Genomic DNA, 16,251 nt, shown 5'->3' with positions numbered 1-16,251 from the left:
TCGTATTAAAAAATACGTAAATTCTAAAGTAAGTGTTTATGATAAAACATTCGATAATTCACAGAGGTGAAAAGCTACCCCCAGAATCCCTTTCTGCTTGAATTCCACGCTCTGGAGAGGACCCCGTGAGGGTCCAGGCACAGCTCTGCCCCCGGCACCCCTCTTCTCTCTGCTGCTTCCACACTGAAAGGCGGAGGCTCTGCTGCCTGTTTTCTTTTGTTGCTCCCCATTTTAACTAAACACTAAAGAAAGTCAAGTGTGAACGTCGCGGTCATTCATTTCGCCTGTGCCGCACTTTCCTGCCCCGGCGAGCCCTCCGCCAGCACTGACCGGAGGGCGCTTCCTTCAGCTTTCTGGGTTGTCTCACTGGAACAGGGTCAGCCCCATTCCCTCCCATCCTGCCCCCTGCCTGGTCTGTAGCCACGTGGTGCCAGGAGTGAGCTCTGCTCTGCTTCAGGATGACAGGCGTGTGTGGACGTTGGTAAGCCCTGTTGGAAGCCGCGAAGCTTTGGGCACAGCTGAACGACCGCCGGTGCCTGCCGCGTGCACACCCTCTGGGCCCAGGCCGCAGGGAGGCTTCTCCAGAGGGCGGGTTCCCCACCCTCACACCCAACTGGTCTGAAAGGATAGAAGCGCATTAGAGGTGAAACTGGGGCCTTGGAGACAGAGTGGGAAATGGACTGGGCTTGTCGCTTGTATTTTACACATGTCTTTGTTTGTTTGTTTGTTTCCCCTACCTTAAAGTTCAGACCTTTGGGCTCTTGGATGCATAATATACCAGCTTGTGGCAGGACTCCCACCATTCCGAGCTGGGTAAGGAGACGGCGTTGCCTGGGCCTTGGAGCCTGTTGGGGTGCACCCCACCGGCCGGCAGTCCCTCCCAGCCTCGAGGTGGGTGGGGGAGGGCAGCACTTGGTGCCGTGCCCAGGTGGGGGGCTCTCGGCGTGCGGGGCCGGGGTGCGTTTGCCGTGCTGCGAGTCCGGGGCGCTCATCCCTGCGTGTGGAGGCTTCTGGGACCCTGCCTGGGATGACTTTTTTTTTCTTAAATTTTTACAGAAACGAGTATCTTATATTTCAGAAGATCATTAAGTTGGAATATGACTTTCCAGAAAAATTCTTCCCTAAGGCAAGAGACCTCGTGGAGAAACTTTTGGTAAATATCGTGAATTTCCTTTTAGAAAGGTGATCCGGGACACCCTGAGTCCTCTGAACCTGCTTTCTGAGTGGCTTTCCTGGAGGCTCCCGTGTTCACAAAAAATGGTGTTTTTAGGGTTAACAGTGAGTGTGGATCATTACACCTAGTCTCGCCAGACACATTGGCTCACGCCTGTCACCCCAGCACTTTGGGAGGCTGAGGCAGGTGGATCACCTGAGGTCAGGAGTTTGAGACTAGCCTGGCCTCTATGGTGAAACCACGTCTCTAGTAAAAATATAAAAATTAGCCGGGCATGGTGGCGGGCGCCTGCGATCTCAGCTACTTGGGAAGCTGAGGCAGGAGAATGGTGTGAACCCGGGAGGCGGAGGTTGCAGTGAGTCGAGATCGTACCACTGCACTCCAGCCTGGGCGACAGAGCGAGAGTCTCAAACAAACAAACAAACAAACAAAACCCAAACGTTTTGAGTACTTATTGTCACTTCTCAGTATCTGCTGGAGAGCACCCCGTACTGTTCCCCGCCCCCCCGCCCCCTCCATCCACCGCAGAGCAACTGGACGGGGAGGCAGGCCCTGGGATCCTGTGCTGCCCCTCAAGGCTCGGCCCCTTTCCTCGCACAGGTGAAAAGGAATCTCAGTCTCAAAACACAATGAACAGCAGCAAGGATTCTTTTACAGTGTATAGTTAAAAATCCTAAAACAAGAAACACTGAGTAATTAACAAAGGGAGCGAATCATCACTGGGACCAGCACGCTCCTGCGCTTGTGGAGTGGGTGTCGCTGGGACCCTCGAAGGCCGCAGAGCTGTCTCCTCCAGGGACTGATCAAGCCCACACCCCAGCCCAGGGGAAAGAGGTGAGACAGGTTGGGAGAAGCCAGTGGCTGTGGAGCCTAGCGATCCCGGGGCCACCTGCAGGGGCAGGACTGAGCCCGCTCCCAGAGTCGTGGTAAGGAGGGACGTCCAGGGCCAAAAGCACAGGAAGGTCAGGAGACTTCTGTTTCTAGAATATAAACTGATACACCTTTCCCAGGCTAACCTCTCTTCTCTGTTTTACCTGGGCTGGTCGTTCGAATTTTCATGTAGCTGACTCTAAAGCTGAAATGTACAGATGTCACGAACTAGGGTCTGCAGCCATCTGCGCTGTCATAACCCCAGTCGCTCCAGCACCAGTAACTTAAAATGCTGTGCAGTGTTGAGCAAATGCTAAATGGTACAGTAATTTCCGTTGATTTCTAAATTTTAGTTTCTTTTATTATTCCTGCTACAGTCATTTCCTGTCAAGAATCAGGCACTTGGAAATGGAAAGGGACTTATGATGAGATGAGATAAATATATATTTTTTTTTTTTTTTGGAGATGGAGTTTTGCTCTCGTCGCACAGGCTGGAGTGCCATGGTGCGATCGTGGCTCACCGCAAATTCTGCCTCCCGGGTTCAAGCGATTCTCCTCCCTCAGCCTCCCGAGTAGCTGGGATTATAGGCGTGCACCACCACGCGCAGCTGATTTTTATATTTTTAGTAGAGACGGGTTGTCACCATGTTGGCCGGGATGGTTTCGAACTCCTGACCTCAGGTGATCTGCCCGCCTCAGCCTCCCAAAGTGCTGGGATGACAGGCATGAGCCACCGTGCCCGGCTACCAGGTTTGGGTTTCTTTGGTCAGAATCACGTTTTCACCCTGGCAGTGACTTGTCTTGATTGTTACTTAAGGTTTTAGATGCCACAAAGCGGTTAGGCTGTGAGGAAATGGAAGGATACGGACCTCTTAAAGCACACCCGTTCTTCGAGTCCGTCACGTGGGAGAACCTGCACCAGCAGACGCCTCCGAAGCTCACCGCTTACCTGCCGGCTATGTCGGAAGACGACGAGGACTGCTATGGCAATGTAAGCTGGCCGGGATGGCGGGCGAGGCAGGTGGCACTGGGTCCTCCGTGCACTGGGCTTCATGCCCGTGCGCCAGACCCACGTGTGATTTGTAGCCGAAAGGGGAGGGTGTCTGTGCCACTGCGGCAGGCCTGCTGGTGGTTGTAGTCTTTGCTGCCGTGAGGCAGTGGCGGGTGAGGTGCTGGGTGGGTCATTTTCTCCTCATTTCCGTGGCCGTGGACAGGCTAGTGAGTTTCCACCCACAGGGTGCCGCTAGAACCGGACGCCGAGCACCCCCGGCACTGGCCCCGGGGTCCCACGTACGGGGCCTCCTGCCCGGCCTGTCGCATCTGCGCTTGGCTTGGTGCTTGTACAACTGTGCGGCCAAGATGCTCCAGAACACTGCCTGTCTTTCCACAGAAACCCCCGAGTGTTGTGTGCTTGAACTTTTGGGACGTGGCGTTGGTGGGGACACTGGTACCTTCTTCAGTGCTGAGTAGGCTCTGAGGCTGCTGGTCTCCCAGCTTGACCACAGCCATGGGGTCTTCAGCACGCTTGGCTCTTTAAGCTTCTCGTAGAGAGCGTGGACCATGTGCCCAAGGGACCGAGGGTGTTGTGAGAGGCAGGCATGTCGCCCACTTCAGCCTTGTTTCCTCTGAGTTCCTCTTGCCACCTCCCCCGTGACCCCCTCGTACTTAAGTGCTGTTATCATGAGATCCATTTTTCTGGTTTGACTTCTGTCGCCATGGCTTATTCTAACTGGCACCGTGTACGGAGTTCCACTTTCCATGACTGAGGAAGTCCAGATTTTGTTTGTTTTGAGACAGGGTCTTGGTGTGTCACTCAGGCTGGAGTGTAGTGGTGCGATCTCGGCTCACTGCAACCTCTGCCGCTGTGGGTTCAAGCGATTCTCCTGTCTCGCCCTCCCGACTAGCGGGAACTGCAGGTGTGCACCACCATGCCCGGCTAATTTTTGTATTTTTAGTAGAGACAGGGTTTCGCCGTGTTGGCCAGGCTGGTGTGGAACTCCTGACCTCAAGTGATCTACCCGCCTCGGCCTCCCAAACTGCTGGGGTTTTAGGCATGAGTTACTGCACCCAGCTGGGAATTCTAGATTTTATCTAAAAGTCATCCACAGCTAAATTTCTGCTAGTGTCAAAGTTTCCCAACGCCCCTACCTGCTGTGTAACGCCCCTCATCCTCCCGACATCCTTTGAGCCCAAACTCTAAGGGAGCCAGGCTTGGGGAGCGGAGTCTGTGCCGCCTGACGTGGCCACCTGAAGCATTTAGGGACTGCAAACCTCCCTTAAGAGCCTTAAGAGCAGATTCCACAGGTCCTGCCTCAGGGCTTCCTCATGGGTGGTCTTCATTCCTCCAGGATCCCAGAGGAACCCACATATGGGACATGGCAGCTCAGGACAACACCCAGCCACCTACATGGGACAGGGCCACACAGGATAGAGACAAGGAGATGAGGGCCTCAGTGTCACAGACTTCCCAGCCCCGCATGGGTCCCGCACAGCCCCCTTCTCCAGCACCGAGGACGTGAGTGGCTGCGTCAGGGGTGGGTTAGAGGTGAGCCTGGGCGGCAGGGCCTTGGTCTGTGTCTAGTGCCTGTTTCTGAGCCAATCCCACTAGGGGCAGACTGAGATAAAACGAAGCCTCAACTCGAGTGGCTCCACGACAGAACACAAGCGGCTGCCCAGAGAGAGTGCATGTGAAAGACATTCCCTGCCAAAGAGACAGGAGTGGGCATCATGGCTCACAGCCTCAGAGCAGGGGCAGGGCTGGGCCACAGCCCCCGTCACTCCACGCCCCGCGTGAACTCGGAGGAGGCAGGCAGATGCCCAGGCCCAGAGGCCCAGAACAGAAACGGAGTCAGACGCTGCCCAGTGCAGACCGATGCGCAGACACGGACCCGGGGGAGCAGGGCCACGCCCGCACGCAGGTGCCCAGAAACCCTCAGCCTTCACGGCGAGGCCTCGAGCTGTTCTGAGCCAAGCCAGCACCGCAGCACACAGGCAGGCCAGCCTGGGCCCAACGCGTGTGGGCACCGTCCCTGCACCACGATCACTCAGAATGGAACACGGCAGCTGGCAGCAGCAGGCACAGTCCAGGTGATGGCACAGAGACATTCACCACCCTTGGGCTGTCCTTGAGGGAGAGCAGGCCAGGGAACCAGGCCCTGAAGCACGCCGTGGGCATCACCGGGCATGTGCCTCACACACCCGCTCAGACCACCTCAGTCACAGCAGGGAGGAACCCCTCACACCCCTTGTGTCGCCAGCCGGAGCCTGGACAGAGGGAGCCCTCCAAGGAGCTGCAGCCAGGGAGGACCCCACACCCACAGGGTCCCCAGGCCTCCCTGTCCGGCAGCTGTGCCGCTGCCCGTGGCCTCAGCACCAGAACGTCGGCCCCAGCTTCAGAGTACAGGGCCTGCTCCTCCCTGGGGCCCCAGGCTGCAGGCATCTGTGTCTTAAGTGGAGCCCTTGGCACCTTTGTCGGGCCCTTGCCCCCAAAGCTAAGGCACCTGTGCCCAAAACTCGGCTTACCTTCCTCCGCGAGGTCTTTGTTAATCACCAGCTTGCCGTGTCTCAGGTAGTTCAGCACAGGCCCAAAGTAGGTGGGGTCTCTGTCGATTAAATAGGCGCCTGTTTCATCCTAAAGAGAGCAGAGCACGGTGAGTCCTCCGTGAGAAGCCGAAGGTTCCTGCAGGTCCACCAAGGCCCGGCCACCTCAGGAGGCTTCAGAGGCACCAGGTTACCCAGGCCTCTCCCCAGCACACCTGAGCCTGCGGCATCTCAGGAAACCCCTGACGGTGTGGCCACGTCCTGCCGCCTACAGCCTAACCCTGACCAGCCACCACCCCAGGTCTAAGTGAGTTTAAGTCTCTCCGTACGGAGGCAGCCTGGCTCTGCGTACTCCAAGGTGAGCCCACTGTGCCCTGGACCTCTGTCCTCACAACTGCAAGACCTCTAGGAAAACACACACGAAAACCTCACCCAGAGATGCCCTCGCGGGCAGGGCAGGGGCCTAGGGCTCAGCCTCAGAAGGACACCTCTGATGGCCACCAGCCTGGGCCTGCGCTCCTCGTGCCCGGGTCCTCCGCAGCCTACATGCAGGAACGGGGGGTCAGGGTGACAGGGGCTTCCTGCCAGGGGTGGAGAGGGCACCTTTCAGCAGGGGCGGCTGCCCAACAGGCCGGGAGCCAGCAGCGAGGGAGGCCACAGTGACCTGCACTCAACAGCATCCGGGGCTTTCCCCAAGATCATCACTCACCTCACAGAGCCCTCGCCCCGGCTCAGCGCTCACGGAGGCCGAGATGTTTACAAAACAGACCCCTCGGAAGGTGTCCTCACGCACCTGGGTGGAGGGACCCCTGAGAGGCACTGCCCCTGCTGCTACCACGGCCACTTCAATGTGGGCAGATGCCCTCTGAGGCCCGGGGTGCCCCACACATCACACCTTGCAGCCCCTTCCACAAAGCACAAGAGCCCCAGTGGCCCGGCCGTGAACACAGGACGGGGGCTCAGACGCCCCAGGCAGCCCCCATGGGGGAGACGGAAGAGGCAGTTTCTGTCTTGTCGGCTACACATCTGATGGGGGGACTGCGAAGCTGGCACAGCCTGTCTTCTACACAGACTCAGACCTTCCGTGTGGCTCTGCTGGGGCAGCTCCTGCCTCCCCCCACATGCCTGCAAGGGTCCTGCTCCCACCTGCGAGCCACTCCCACAGGGGCTGGTGCCTGCGGGTGCCCTGGAGGCCGGGGAGCTGAGGCCTCCGTTCAGAAACACCGGCAGCCTCCCCGGCGAGGCCCAGGGCCAAGCGCTGGAGAAGCAACCCCACACCCCATTCGGAGCAGGAGCAGCCCCCTCACCAGATGGTGGCTCCTGTGGGGCCATGGGCAGGCGCTGGCCACGGGAATGCCAGGCTCGCAGATATGGGGAGGCCGAAGGTGTCTCCACCACAAAGCACGGGGCCACGCTAGGACCCTATTTTCATCCATGGACAAATTCTGCCATTTGGGTGCTAAGACCTAGTGGTCTCAAGAGATTTTCCCAAAGTCCACCACCGCAAACCTGCAACAACCTGCTCTTTTTAGATCACAGGGACTGAGTTTTGTGGCTGAGATAAAATCAATTAGGGCTCCGGGCATGGGGGCGCTGGACCCGGAGCCTCGGCGGCCCCCCTACTCCTTAGGGTGACCCCAGCTCCACACAGACCTGACCCTATCCTCCTTCCCCACCCTCCCCCGGAACACTCCAGCCAGAGCTGCCCACCCCACAGGCCCTGCCTCCTGGGCTTGGCCCTGCCTTTCCCCAGCCCTCCAGACTCCACAGCTCTCAAGCAAGGGCCGGGGCCACAGGGCCAGCTCCCGGAAAGAGGACGCTGGGCGGTCCTGCGCAACTGCTAAAAAATGGACACCATTTCCCACAAAGGGGCCCAAGTCTGGCAAGGCGGCCAGTGCTGCCACCCGAGTCCAGGGTTCCTCCCTGCCCCACCCCCATACAGAGAGAATGCTGGCCGCGTGACGTCCGCACACCGCTCAGCTCAGGAATTATTCACGGCTCACTGCTACCTCGACAGACCGCTGGCAGGAGGTCAGGAAAGATCAGATAGGGCGGAGGCTCGCCTCTGCCCAGGACAACCCCAGAGAACCCCTTTGTCAGCCATGGAGGCCTCCAGGCCTGGCCTCAGTGGTCAGACTGCAGGCTCACAGCCAGGCCACCCCAAGCCTCAGTTTCTTTACGAGCAAAAGGTGGGGGAGACCAGCTCGTGTAGCTCGGGGCCGCCATGAGTGCCAGGGCACCCAACCTGTGGCAGGACCTGGGCACTGAGCCGTGACCTCTAGGCCAAGACAACCCACCATGCGCTTCTCGGGCCCTGGGCCGATGCAAGAGGAGAAGAAACTGTACTGGGTGCCCCCAGACAACCAGGGCAGCCCCAGCCCTGCAACTGGAAGGACGGAGGCAGGAGGGAAGGAGGGCGGGCCGAGGACGGCCATCAGTTAAAACCACACAGCAGGACAGAGGAACAGGCCTGAGGACCCAGCAGCGTACTGGGTGTACTGGCAGTGGGCTTGGTGCTGCTCTCACCACTGTGCTCTTTTGAGGCTTTCAGTGGCTGATTTCCACATTCACAGTAAGTGCTGGGGTCTGAAACCAACACTCTTCAATCCTACCAGGGTTCAGGTCTCGCTGAGGCCTGACTCGCATCCATATACGTGCAGGGTGTCGGTGCTTTGAGCTCGGGTGAGCCACGTGCTCCAGATTGGCCTAGTGCGTGCAGGGTCTACTCATGGCACCAGCCCAGGCCCAGACAGTGCCAAGCTCAGGCGCAAGGGCCTTGGCAGCTCACTGCTTGTGTCAGGGATGTGGCTCAATAGCCTCCACCCTGATGCAGAAACAAAAATATGGAACATGGGGAGTACAAAAACATAAAAAATTCAGGATATACTCCTAGGCTCACGGAGACAAAGGGAGCAAGGTCACCTCACGGATGTTCAGAACAGTGCCTGAGCCGACCCAGGTAAGGCCCCTGTGCTGCCCACAAGGCCATCAGCGGTACCTGCCCAAGGAGGGAAAGATGCCCCAGCCCGGCCATGCCTCTAAGATGGGTGAGGAGAGGTGGCCAGGAAGCCAGCGGGATGCTGCGGGCCGGGCGTGGGGGTGCTCTTCTTCCTGCGGGCCCGGCGTGAGGGTGCTCTTCTTCCCACGGGCGGGGAGTGGGGTTGCTCTTCTTCACGCGGGTGGGGTGTGGGGGTGCTCTTCCTCTTCTTCCTGGCTTTCCCGTGTGTCCCACGGCTTACACAACCAGCACAGGCTGCGCTCGATTCTCGCAAAGGTTCGTGGTGGTTTTTTTTTTTGTAAGACAGCCCTAATTGGCTGGGTGTGGTGGCTCACACCTGTAATCCCAGCACTTTGGGAGGCCAAGGTGGGCGGATCACGAGGTCAGGAGTTTGAGACTGGCCTGGCCAACATGGTGAAACCATCTCTACTAAAAATATAAAACTTAGCTGTGTGTGGTGGTGCATGCCTGTAATCCCAGCTACTCAGGAGACTGAAGGAGGAGACTCGCTTGAACCCAGGTGGCAGAGGTTGTGGTGAGCCAAGATTGTGCCATTGTACTCCAGCTTGGGCAACAAGAACAAAACTCCGTCTGAAAAAAAAAAGCCATAATTAAGACTTTTCTTAGCAAGTCATCTCCCTCATCTTCCCCGCACCTTGCTGAACCGGCATCTGACCTACTTGGGGCCGGGCCCAAGCTGGTATTGGGTGGGCCCAGCAGGCTGGGTTGACCCACCCATCTCCAGGGGTCACAGCCTTCAGCCGGAGCCACCCACCGCAGGCCAGGCAGGCCGGTTTCCAAACCATAGAGGAGAAGAGGGATCCTGGCCACACCAAGAGCAGGAGCCAAGGTTGTCTCCTGGAGAGGAGCGCACGGGAGGCAGCGCCAAGCCAGGGCACACACAGTCTCAGGAGGTAGAAGAAGATCCCACAGACAGAGCTGGCTGCCCCCTCCCCAAGTCCACAGGACAAACACAGAGGGAAGTCTGTTTAGGAGAGCAGCACTCAGAGAAGGCTGGTGAGAAGCCTGCCCACTCTGCTCATGTCACCAGACTCCGGCTGCAGCCCTCAACCCTCCATGCTGTCACCCAGCAAGCAAAGCACCAGAGACAACATGGGGGCACCCCAGCCCCTGAGGAACAGGTCCCTAATGCAACCACCAGCCTTGAAAATGGCAGTGAAGGGCTGGGCTTGGTGGCTCACGCCTGTAATCTCAGCACTTTGGGAGGCCGAGGCGGGCGGATTATCTGAGGTCAGGAGTTGAAGACCAGCCTGACCAACATGGTGAAACCCTGTCTCTACTAAAAATACACAAATTAGCCAGGCTTGGTGGAGGGTGCCTCTAATCCCAGCTACTAGGGAGGCTGAGGCAGGACAATCACTTGAACCTGACAGCCCCGTTGCAGTGAGCCAAAATTGTGCATTACACTCCAGCCTGGGCGATCCAGTGAGCCTCTGTCTCAAAAAAAAAAAAAACGGCAGTGAGGAATGAGGGTGGAGACTGCCAGGCTCTCACGCCAGATTCTGAACCCAACATAACCCTGCTGCTGCCCAACCCTCCCGCAGCTCCCAGAGCTCTGCAAAGAGGGTCGGCCCTGCGGCTCTCAGTCATTCCCGGTGCTCGGAGACACGTGCCACCAGAGGGGAACGAAATCAAGAGGGTGCAGTGCCCTGAGCCAATCCAGGAGATAAACTCTGTCAAATTGCCCCACAGAAATCTAGACGCGAAGGCATAGAATTTCCTGTGCACCAACATCTGCAATCAACCTAATTAGAAATACTTAGTTTTTACTCTGAAATTATCCATTTCAAGTGACTCTGTTTCAATTTCGCACACAAAACCTTCACCTCTACTCTCTCTTCTGTTTTGTTTTATGCAGCTGTGGCATATCTTTGGCCCACAAGAGGACTTTGATGTCACCAATTACTAATGGGGAAACTGAGGCCAGAGACCAAGGAGGCTTGTCCAAGGCAGCCAGATTCGGAGAGCAGGGTGGGGCCCCTGTGCCCTGGTCGCCAGGCCTGCTGCCTCCCCACCACCCTTCCCTTCCATTGCTTCTCGGCCTCACCCAGCATAGAAACTGGAATTTGGGAGGTCCCTGCCCCACACATGACTCAAAGCTTAGTGAGAAGCAGACGTGTGTGGACTCACGACCTGGCCCCTCACAAGAGGTCCTGCGGCTTCTCGGGGAAGAAACATGCTTCAGGTGAACCACGGGGGGTCTTGCCAAGCCGAGGTCGCTGCAGAGAGTCCTGCTCTGCTCGGCAGGAACTGGAGCCCTCTCAGGAGCAGGGGTGTCAGGTTTCTTGCAAGAAAACTCGGGGGCTGCCCAGGAAGCCCTGCCCTCCCCACAGTGCAGGGTCCAGTCCCCAGAGGTGGAGACCCACTCAGCGGGGGCCTGTGCTGCTAGGGTCAGCCAGAGCTCTGGGTGGCAGCAGGGGGACTGGCAGGGCGAGCCACTCCTGGCCATACATGCTGCCTTCAGGGACCTCCGGTGCATCACCCGAGGCTGACAGGGCTGAGTGTGGCCAGAGGTCGACATTAACAGAAATTAAGTGTGGCTGCGGGAGGGGAAAAGCGTTCTTAGCATATCCTTCCTAAAAGTAAAGTACACTCACACCTGTAATCCCAGCACTTTGGGAGGCCGAGGTGGGCAGATCACCGGAGGTCAGGAGTTCGAGACCAGCCTGGCCAACATGGAGAAACCCCATCTCTACAGAATATATAAAAATCAGCCAGACATGATGGCTTGTGCCTGTAATCCCAGTTACTTGGGAGGCTGAGGCAAGAGAATCTCTTGAACCCAGGTGGCAGAGGTTGCAGTGAGCCCAGATAGAGGCGGGATAGAGTGAGACTCTGTCTCAAATATTTAAAAACAAAAACCAAGTACAGGCCGGGTGCAGTGGCTCATGCCTGTAATCCCAGCACTTTGGGAGGCCAAGACAGGTGGATCAGGAGGTCAGGAGATCGAGACCATCCTGGTTAACACGGTGAAACCCCGTCTCTACTAAAAATACACAAAGATTAGCCGGGCGTGGTAGCGGGTGCCTGTAGTCCCAGCTACTCAGGAGGCTGAGGCAGGAGAATGATGTCAACCCGGGAGGTGGAGCTTGCAGTGAGCTAAGATCGCGCCACTGCACTCCAGCCTGGGCAACAGAGTGAGACGCCGTCTCAAAAAAAAAACAAGTACAAACACGAAGACCTCCAGGCACAGCCTCTCCTGACTGCACTGACCTGGTGCCAGGCATGGGGCAGGGGCACCACATTTGTCATCTTCAGGGGAGGACGTCACCCTTACCTTACAGAGGAAGAAACTACAGCTCACAGGGGACGGGAAATCACCCGAAGTCACAAGGCAGGCCCGGGATGGGCACAGTCTCTCACCAGTGCTGGCTACACAGTACATCATCTGCCATCTCCACTAGACGTGATCCCCACTTCTCTTGCCAAGCGGCTTCAAAGACGGTACTCTAGCCCACACCCCATCACTGGGCCCTGTCTGAACAATTCCTTCCATAACTTTCCACCCCCGAGGTCTTGCCAACACCCAGTACACTGTTAGAGGCACCCTGACTGCCCCACCCCTCAAAGACCCATCTGATGCCACCACATCTGGAACCCTCAAGCCGGGACAACGGCCCTGTTCAAAGGGCAAAAGTTCACGTGCAGTTTTCTCCAAGGCTGCCTCAGCTGCAGGAACCGAAGCCTCCCCAAATTCTCCTCCATCTGAGTGGTTTCCAACCATAAAGCAGTAGTATTTCCTGTTTCCTTTTAACTCCTCAAGTATCTCCACACTAAAGCAGGGGCTGCTTTAGCTGGAAACAACAAACTCGACTTTGTTTTCAACAATGCCTATGGGCCGGGGACCATGCAATACAAGAGACCTAACCAAAATGAATCGAGTCTTTGGGAAGCCGTATTCCACCTGGCCTGCCCTCGAAGACACCAAGGAAGAGAAAGATGACAGAACAGCAGATGAGCAGATGCTGAAATGCTCACCACAGCCACAGTCCTGCTGGAGGAAGTCCCAGGAGGAAGTGAGAATTCACACCGGGCTGTCTAGAAAGAGAACTTTGTGGCAGCAGGTCGGCCCTTGGAACAGCAGAGTAAGGGCTTGGGAGCGTGGAGTATGGCGGGTGGTGGGTCCCAAGCTGGGCTCTGAGGACTTGGTTGGGGGCAGTCACAGCCCAGAAGCTTAGATGTGGGGCCAGAGGGCAATCAAGCCAGCCCCTTGATGTGCGTGGCTTTCACCACCCTCCCTAACAACCCGTCTGTCAAGAGCTCCCCTCCCTACCAGATAGGATGCTTTAGCAGGGTGCTCTCCCAACCTCTCAGGCACCCAAAGCTTCTATGGTTTCTTGGGAACTCCTCCCCCTTAAATCTCCCCACCCAACCCCTCTCCAGACCCCCACACTCTGCAAGCCCAGGTGCTCACTCCACACAAGTCTAATAATCCAGGCAGGGACTCTTCCACCAGATCCATGCTTAAGTCCAACTCGAGGAATATTCTTTCCTTAATCTCAACTCTGAGGTCAGGCCTTGGAGATCTTTACAGGTGAATCAACATCCTGTTTGTCTTCCAACGTGTCATTAATGGCCTCCCACTCCTGACACCCCTTCCCCCCCTCCTCAGATTCCTCAGTCAGCATTTAATTAGGAGGAATCTCCTGGGACATTCTTTCATCAGAGCCACTGGAGACAAAACTAAGATGAAGCATTTTACACATTTCCTCATTTGATGAAAAACACCGGAAAACACTTTAGTAACGTGACTAATATGAATTAGCACTACACTTTTGGCAAATTATCTGTCACTAAAACTAACCTTATTTACTCCAATTATTGTTTTCTCCTTTTCTTTTTTCTTTTTTTTTGAGACAGAGTCTCGATCTGTCGCCCATGCTGGAGTGCAGTGGCGCAACCTCAGCCCACTGTAACCTCTGCCTCCCGGTTCAAGTGGTTCTCCTGCCTCAGCCTCCCGAGTAGCTGGGAGTACAGGCACGCGCCACCATGCCCAGCTAATTTTTTTGTATTTTTAGTAGAGACGGGGTTTTGCCATGCTGGCCAGGCTGCTCTCAAACTCCTGACCTCAGGTGATTCACGCGCCTCGGCCTCCCAAAGTGCTGGGATTACAGGCGTGAGCCACCTTGCCCGGCCCCTACTCCAATTATTGTATGAGACAGAGACGACTGTATCTGCTACTTTACCTTCATGTTCTGAATTTGAGTTTTACCATTTGGAAATCAAACCTGGTTAAATGGATGATAATGAAAAGAGCAAGTATAACACAGATATATTCAGAAAGATTAATTACCCCTCGCCCAAAGAATTGATTCCTACCGTAAAGCATTTTTTTGTTTGTTTGAGACAGAGTCTTGCTCTGTCATCCAAGCTAGAGTGCAGTGGTGTGATCTTGACTCACTGCAAGCTCCGCCTCCCGGGTTCTAGCGATTCTTCTGCCTCAGCCTCCAGAGCAGCTGGGACTACAGGCGCCCGCCACCGCGCGCGGCTCATTTTTTGTATTTTTAGTAGAGACAGGGTTTCATCGTGTTAGCCAGGATGGTCTCGATCTCCTGACCTCGTGATCCGCCTGCCTCAGCCTCCCAAAGTGCTGGGATTACACACGTGAGCCACCGCGCCCACCTTTTTGTATTTTTAGTAGAGACCGGGCATCACCATATTGGCCCGGTTGGTTTTGAACGAGATCCACCTGCCTGGGCCTCCCAAAGTGTTGGGATTACAGGCATGAGCCACCGCGCCCGGCCCATAATTTTTAACAAAGTCTTAAGGAACAGTAAAGCAAAGGGATCAACCACCTTAACTGTGCTATAGTTCATCAACTGGGAATCAAGTGCTCCAGTGCTGAATAGACAACCATTGCCTCAAAGAACCCAATGGACAAGAGCAATTTAAACTCTAATTTCATATACAAAACAGGAATGCTTGAGTAGAAAGGCAAGGGAGTGACCACTAAGCCCTGTTATTTAAAAAGAAAAACCAAACAGTAAAACACACACCCACACTTATAAAAGGAAAATCACAGCTAACAAACGCCTATTTCTATCCTGGGGATGACTGTCATTTCCTGGGAGGTCAATTCTCTGAGTAGAGGGCTTGGTCAAATGAGCAATGGAAACAGTTGGAAGTTGTGGGGAGGCACAGGAGGGTTGGCATCTCAAACCCTCATTTCCACCCACAAGGCTGCCTTAGCAGTAACTCCAGATTCTCATTTCCTGATCACGGTCATGCCATGCTGAGAATGGTCTCAGTCAGGCTTCTCAAACTTGAAGAGGGATCCGAACCTTTCTGGGAAGCCTCCTGCATGGCAAATGTTGGCTGCCAAGGCACAAAGCCAAGCGCAGTCATGTAAGCTCAACTGAAAGACCCCGCAAAGTTAGTATAAGGCTTGTGAACTGCCTTGAATAAATATAGGTAACAACTTCTTCAAACAGGCTTTTTTGTGAGTTTCAATCCTGCACAACTCCCAAGACACGGTTCCTCGGCTCCACAACTCTTGATAAATAAAGGTAGCAAAAGGTTTCTATTACCATCTACCCAACAGCATGAGCATTTCGCTTGATGAAAGACAAGCTGCAAACTAACCTGGAAATTCCTGTCCTTTTGCGAAGACAGTGGGAAAACTAAGCCAATTAGAAAGCAGATTGAAAGATTCCTTACCTGGCCCTTCCTGGACATCCCTAAAGCAACCCTTAATATGAGCAAAATCCCCTTCGAAAAATCACAGTATATACTATGGACGCATCTTCTAAGAGGTGCTGAGTGGGTGCTGCGTGCTGTGGATGGAAAGGATGGAGCGCCAACTCTCTAAATACAAGTCACCAGGGAAAAAAAGGGCCGCCCATATCAACCCCCACGTCAGCGTTAATTCAAACGTCCAGAATGTGAAACGCCAAGGGTTCTGTCTCCAGAGCCAGCAAGTACCCTGGGACAGAGAAGAGAAGGCGTTCACACACCCTGGGCAAAAGAACCTAGTGAGAAAAAGAAAGTAGAATCACAGCAAAGTCCGGGGTCTCGGAAGCCTCCTCCACCAAAGAGCAAAGAGGGCGAGGAAGAGACACCCCCAAGGTGAAGCGACTCAGGATTCTCAAAGGCAGTGGACACCAGGGCGCCATCCTTGCCCTCCCCTCCCAGGATAGGGGATCGGGGCAAGCTGGGGATGAGCTGGCGACAAGGGAGTGTTGGGCTCGAAGCCCGAGGAGAGTCGCCCTCTCCTGCTGAGCTCTCCTCGGCGTGGAGCAGGGCGTGTGCGGCGGCCACAGGCCGAAATGGCCCAGGCCCTTTCGACTGGCCCACGTGGTCCTCACCTTGTCCGAGTCCGGGTCGGGGTCGGCCTGGCTCAAGAGGTACAGGAAGGATTTCGGGTCCTGACACAGCGGCGTCTGCCCAGTGGTGAGGAAGTAGGTGCCGCCGCTGTAGAGCCGGACCCACTTGGACCTGCTGCTGGGGCGCTGGGCCAGGACGCTGAGCCCCGCGCTTTAAGGGAGGCACAAGAAGCCACCCCAACCCCGCCCCGAGCCTGCCACGGGCCAGCGGCAGGAGCTCGCAGTGATTCCCCGCCATGATCCCAGCAAGCCCCACCACACCTCCGCTTCACCGGAAGAGTCCGGCTTTTAATATCGCCCTTTGCGTTCTGTCCCGCCCACTGGTC

At 55.9% G+C, this 16,251-nt stretch overlaps 2 pseudogenes across 1 annotated transcript in view, besides 1 other annotated feature; one reads left to right on the top strand and one right to left on the bottom strand.

Moving 5' to 3' along the window:
* The window catches only part of PDPK2P (3-phosphoinositide dependent protein kinase 2, pseudogene), a 25,938-nt pseudogene extending 22,856 nt beyond the window's left edge, over window positions 1-3,082 (top strand).
* The window catches only part of LOC652276 (potassium channel tetramerization domain containing 5 pseudogene), a 27,111-nt pseudogene extending 10,860 nt beyond the window's left edge, over window positions 1-16,251 (bottom strand). Inside the window, exons 1-3 of the transcript NR_015441.1 lie at window positions 15,908-16,251; window positions 8,583-9,173; window positions 5,567-5,675 (exon numbers count right to left, since the gene is read on the bottom strand). The product of NR_015441.1 is annotated as a potassium channel tetramerization domain containing 5 pseudogene (transcript). The remainder of the gene's footprint in view (window positions 1-5,566; window positions 5,676-8,582; window positions 9,174-15,907) is intronic.
* Window positions 15,724-16,063: an enhancer, noted in NCBI's record as "active region_10275". NCBI's record gives its function as "activates an Ori minimal core promoter by ATAC-STARR-seq in GM12878 lymphoblastoid cells {active_cell/tissue: GM12878}" and the evidence as "EXISTENCE:reporter gene assay evidence [ECO:0000049][PMID:35858748]".

Source organism: Homo sapiens, chromosome 16 (genome assembly GCF_000001405.40).
Source record: "Homo sapiens chromosome 16, GRCh38.p14 Primary Assembly".
Taxonomy (NCBI): Eukaryota; Metazoa; Chordata; class Mammalia; order Primates; family Hominidae; genus Homo; species Homo sapiens.
The sequence above is the reverse complement of the archived record's forward strand: the minus strand, read 5'-3'. Positions and strand labels throughout refer to the sequence as shown.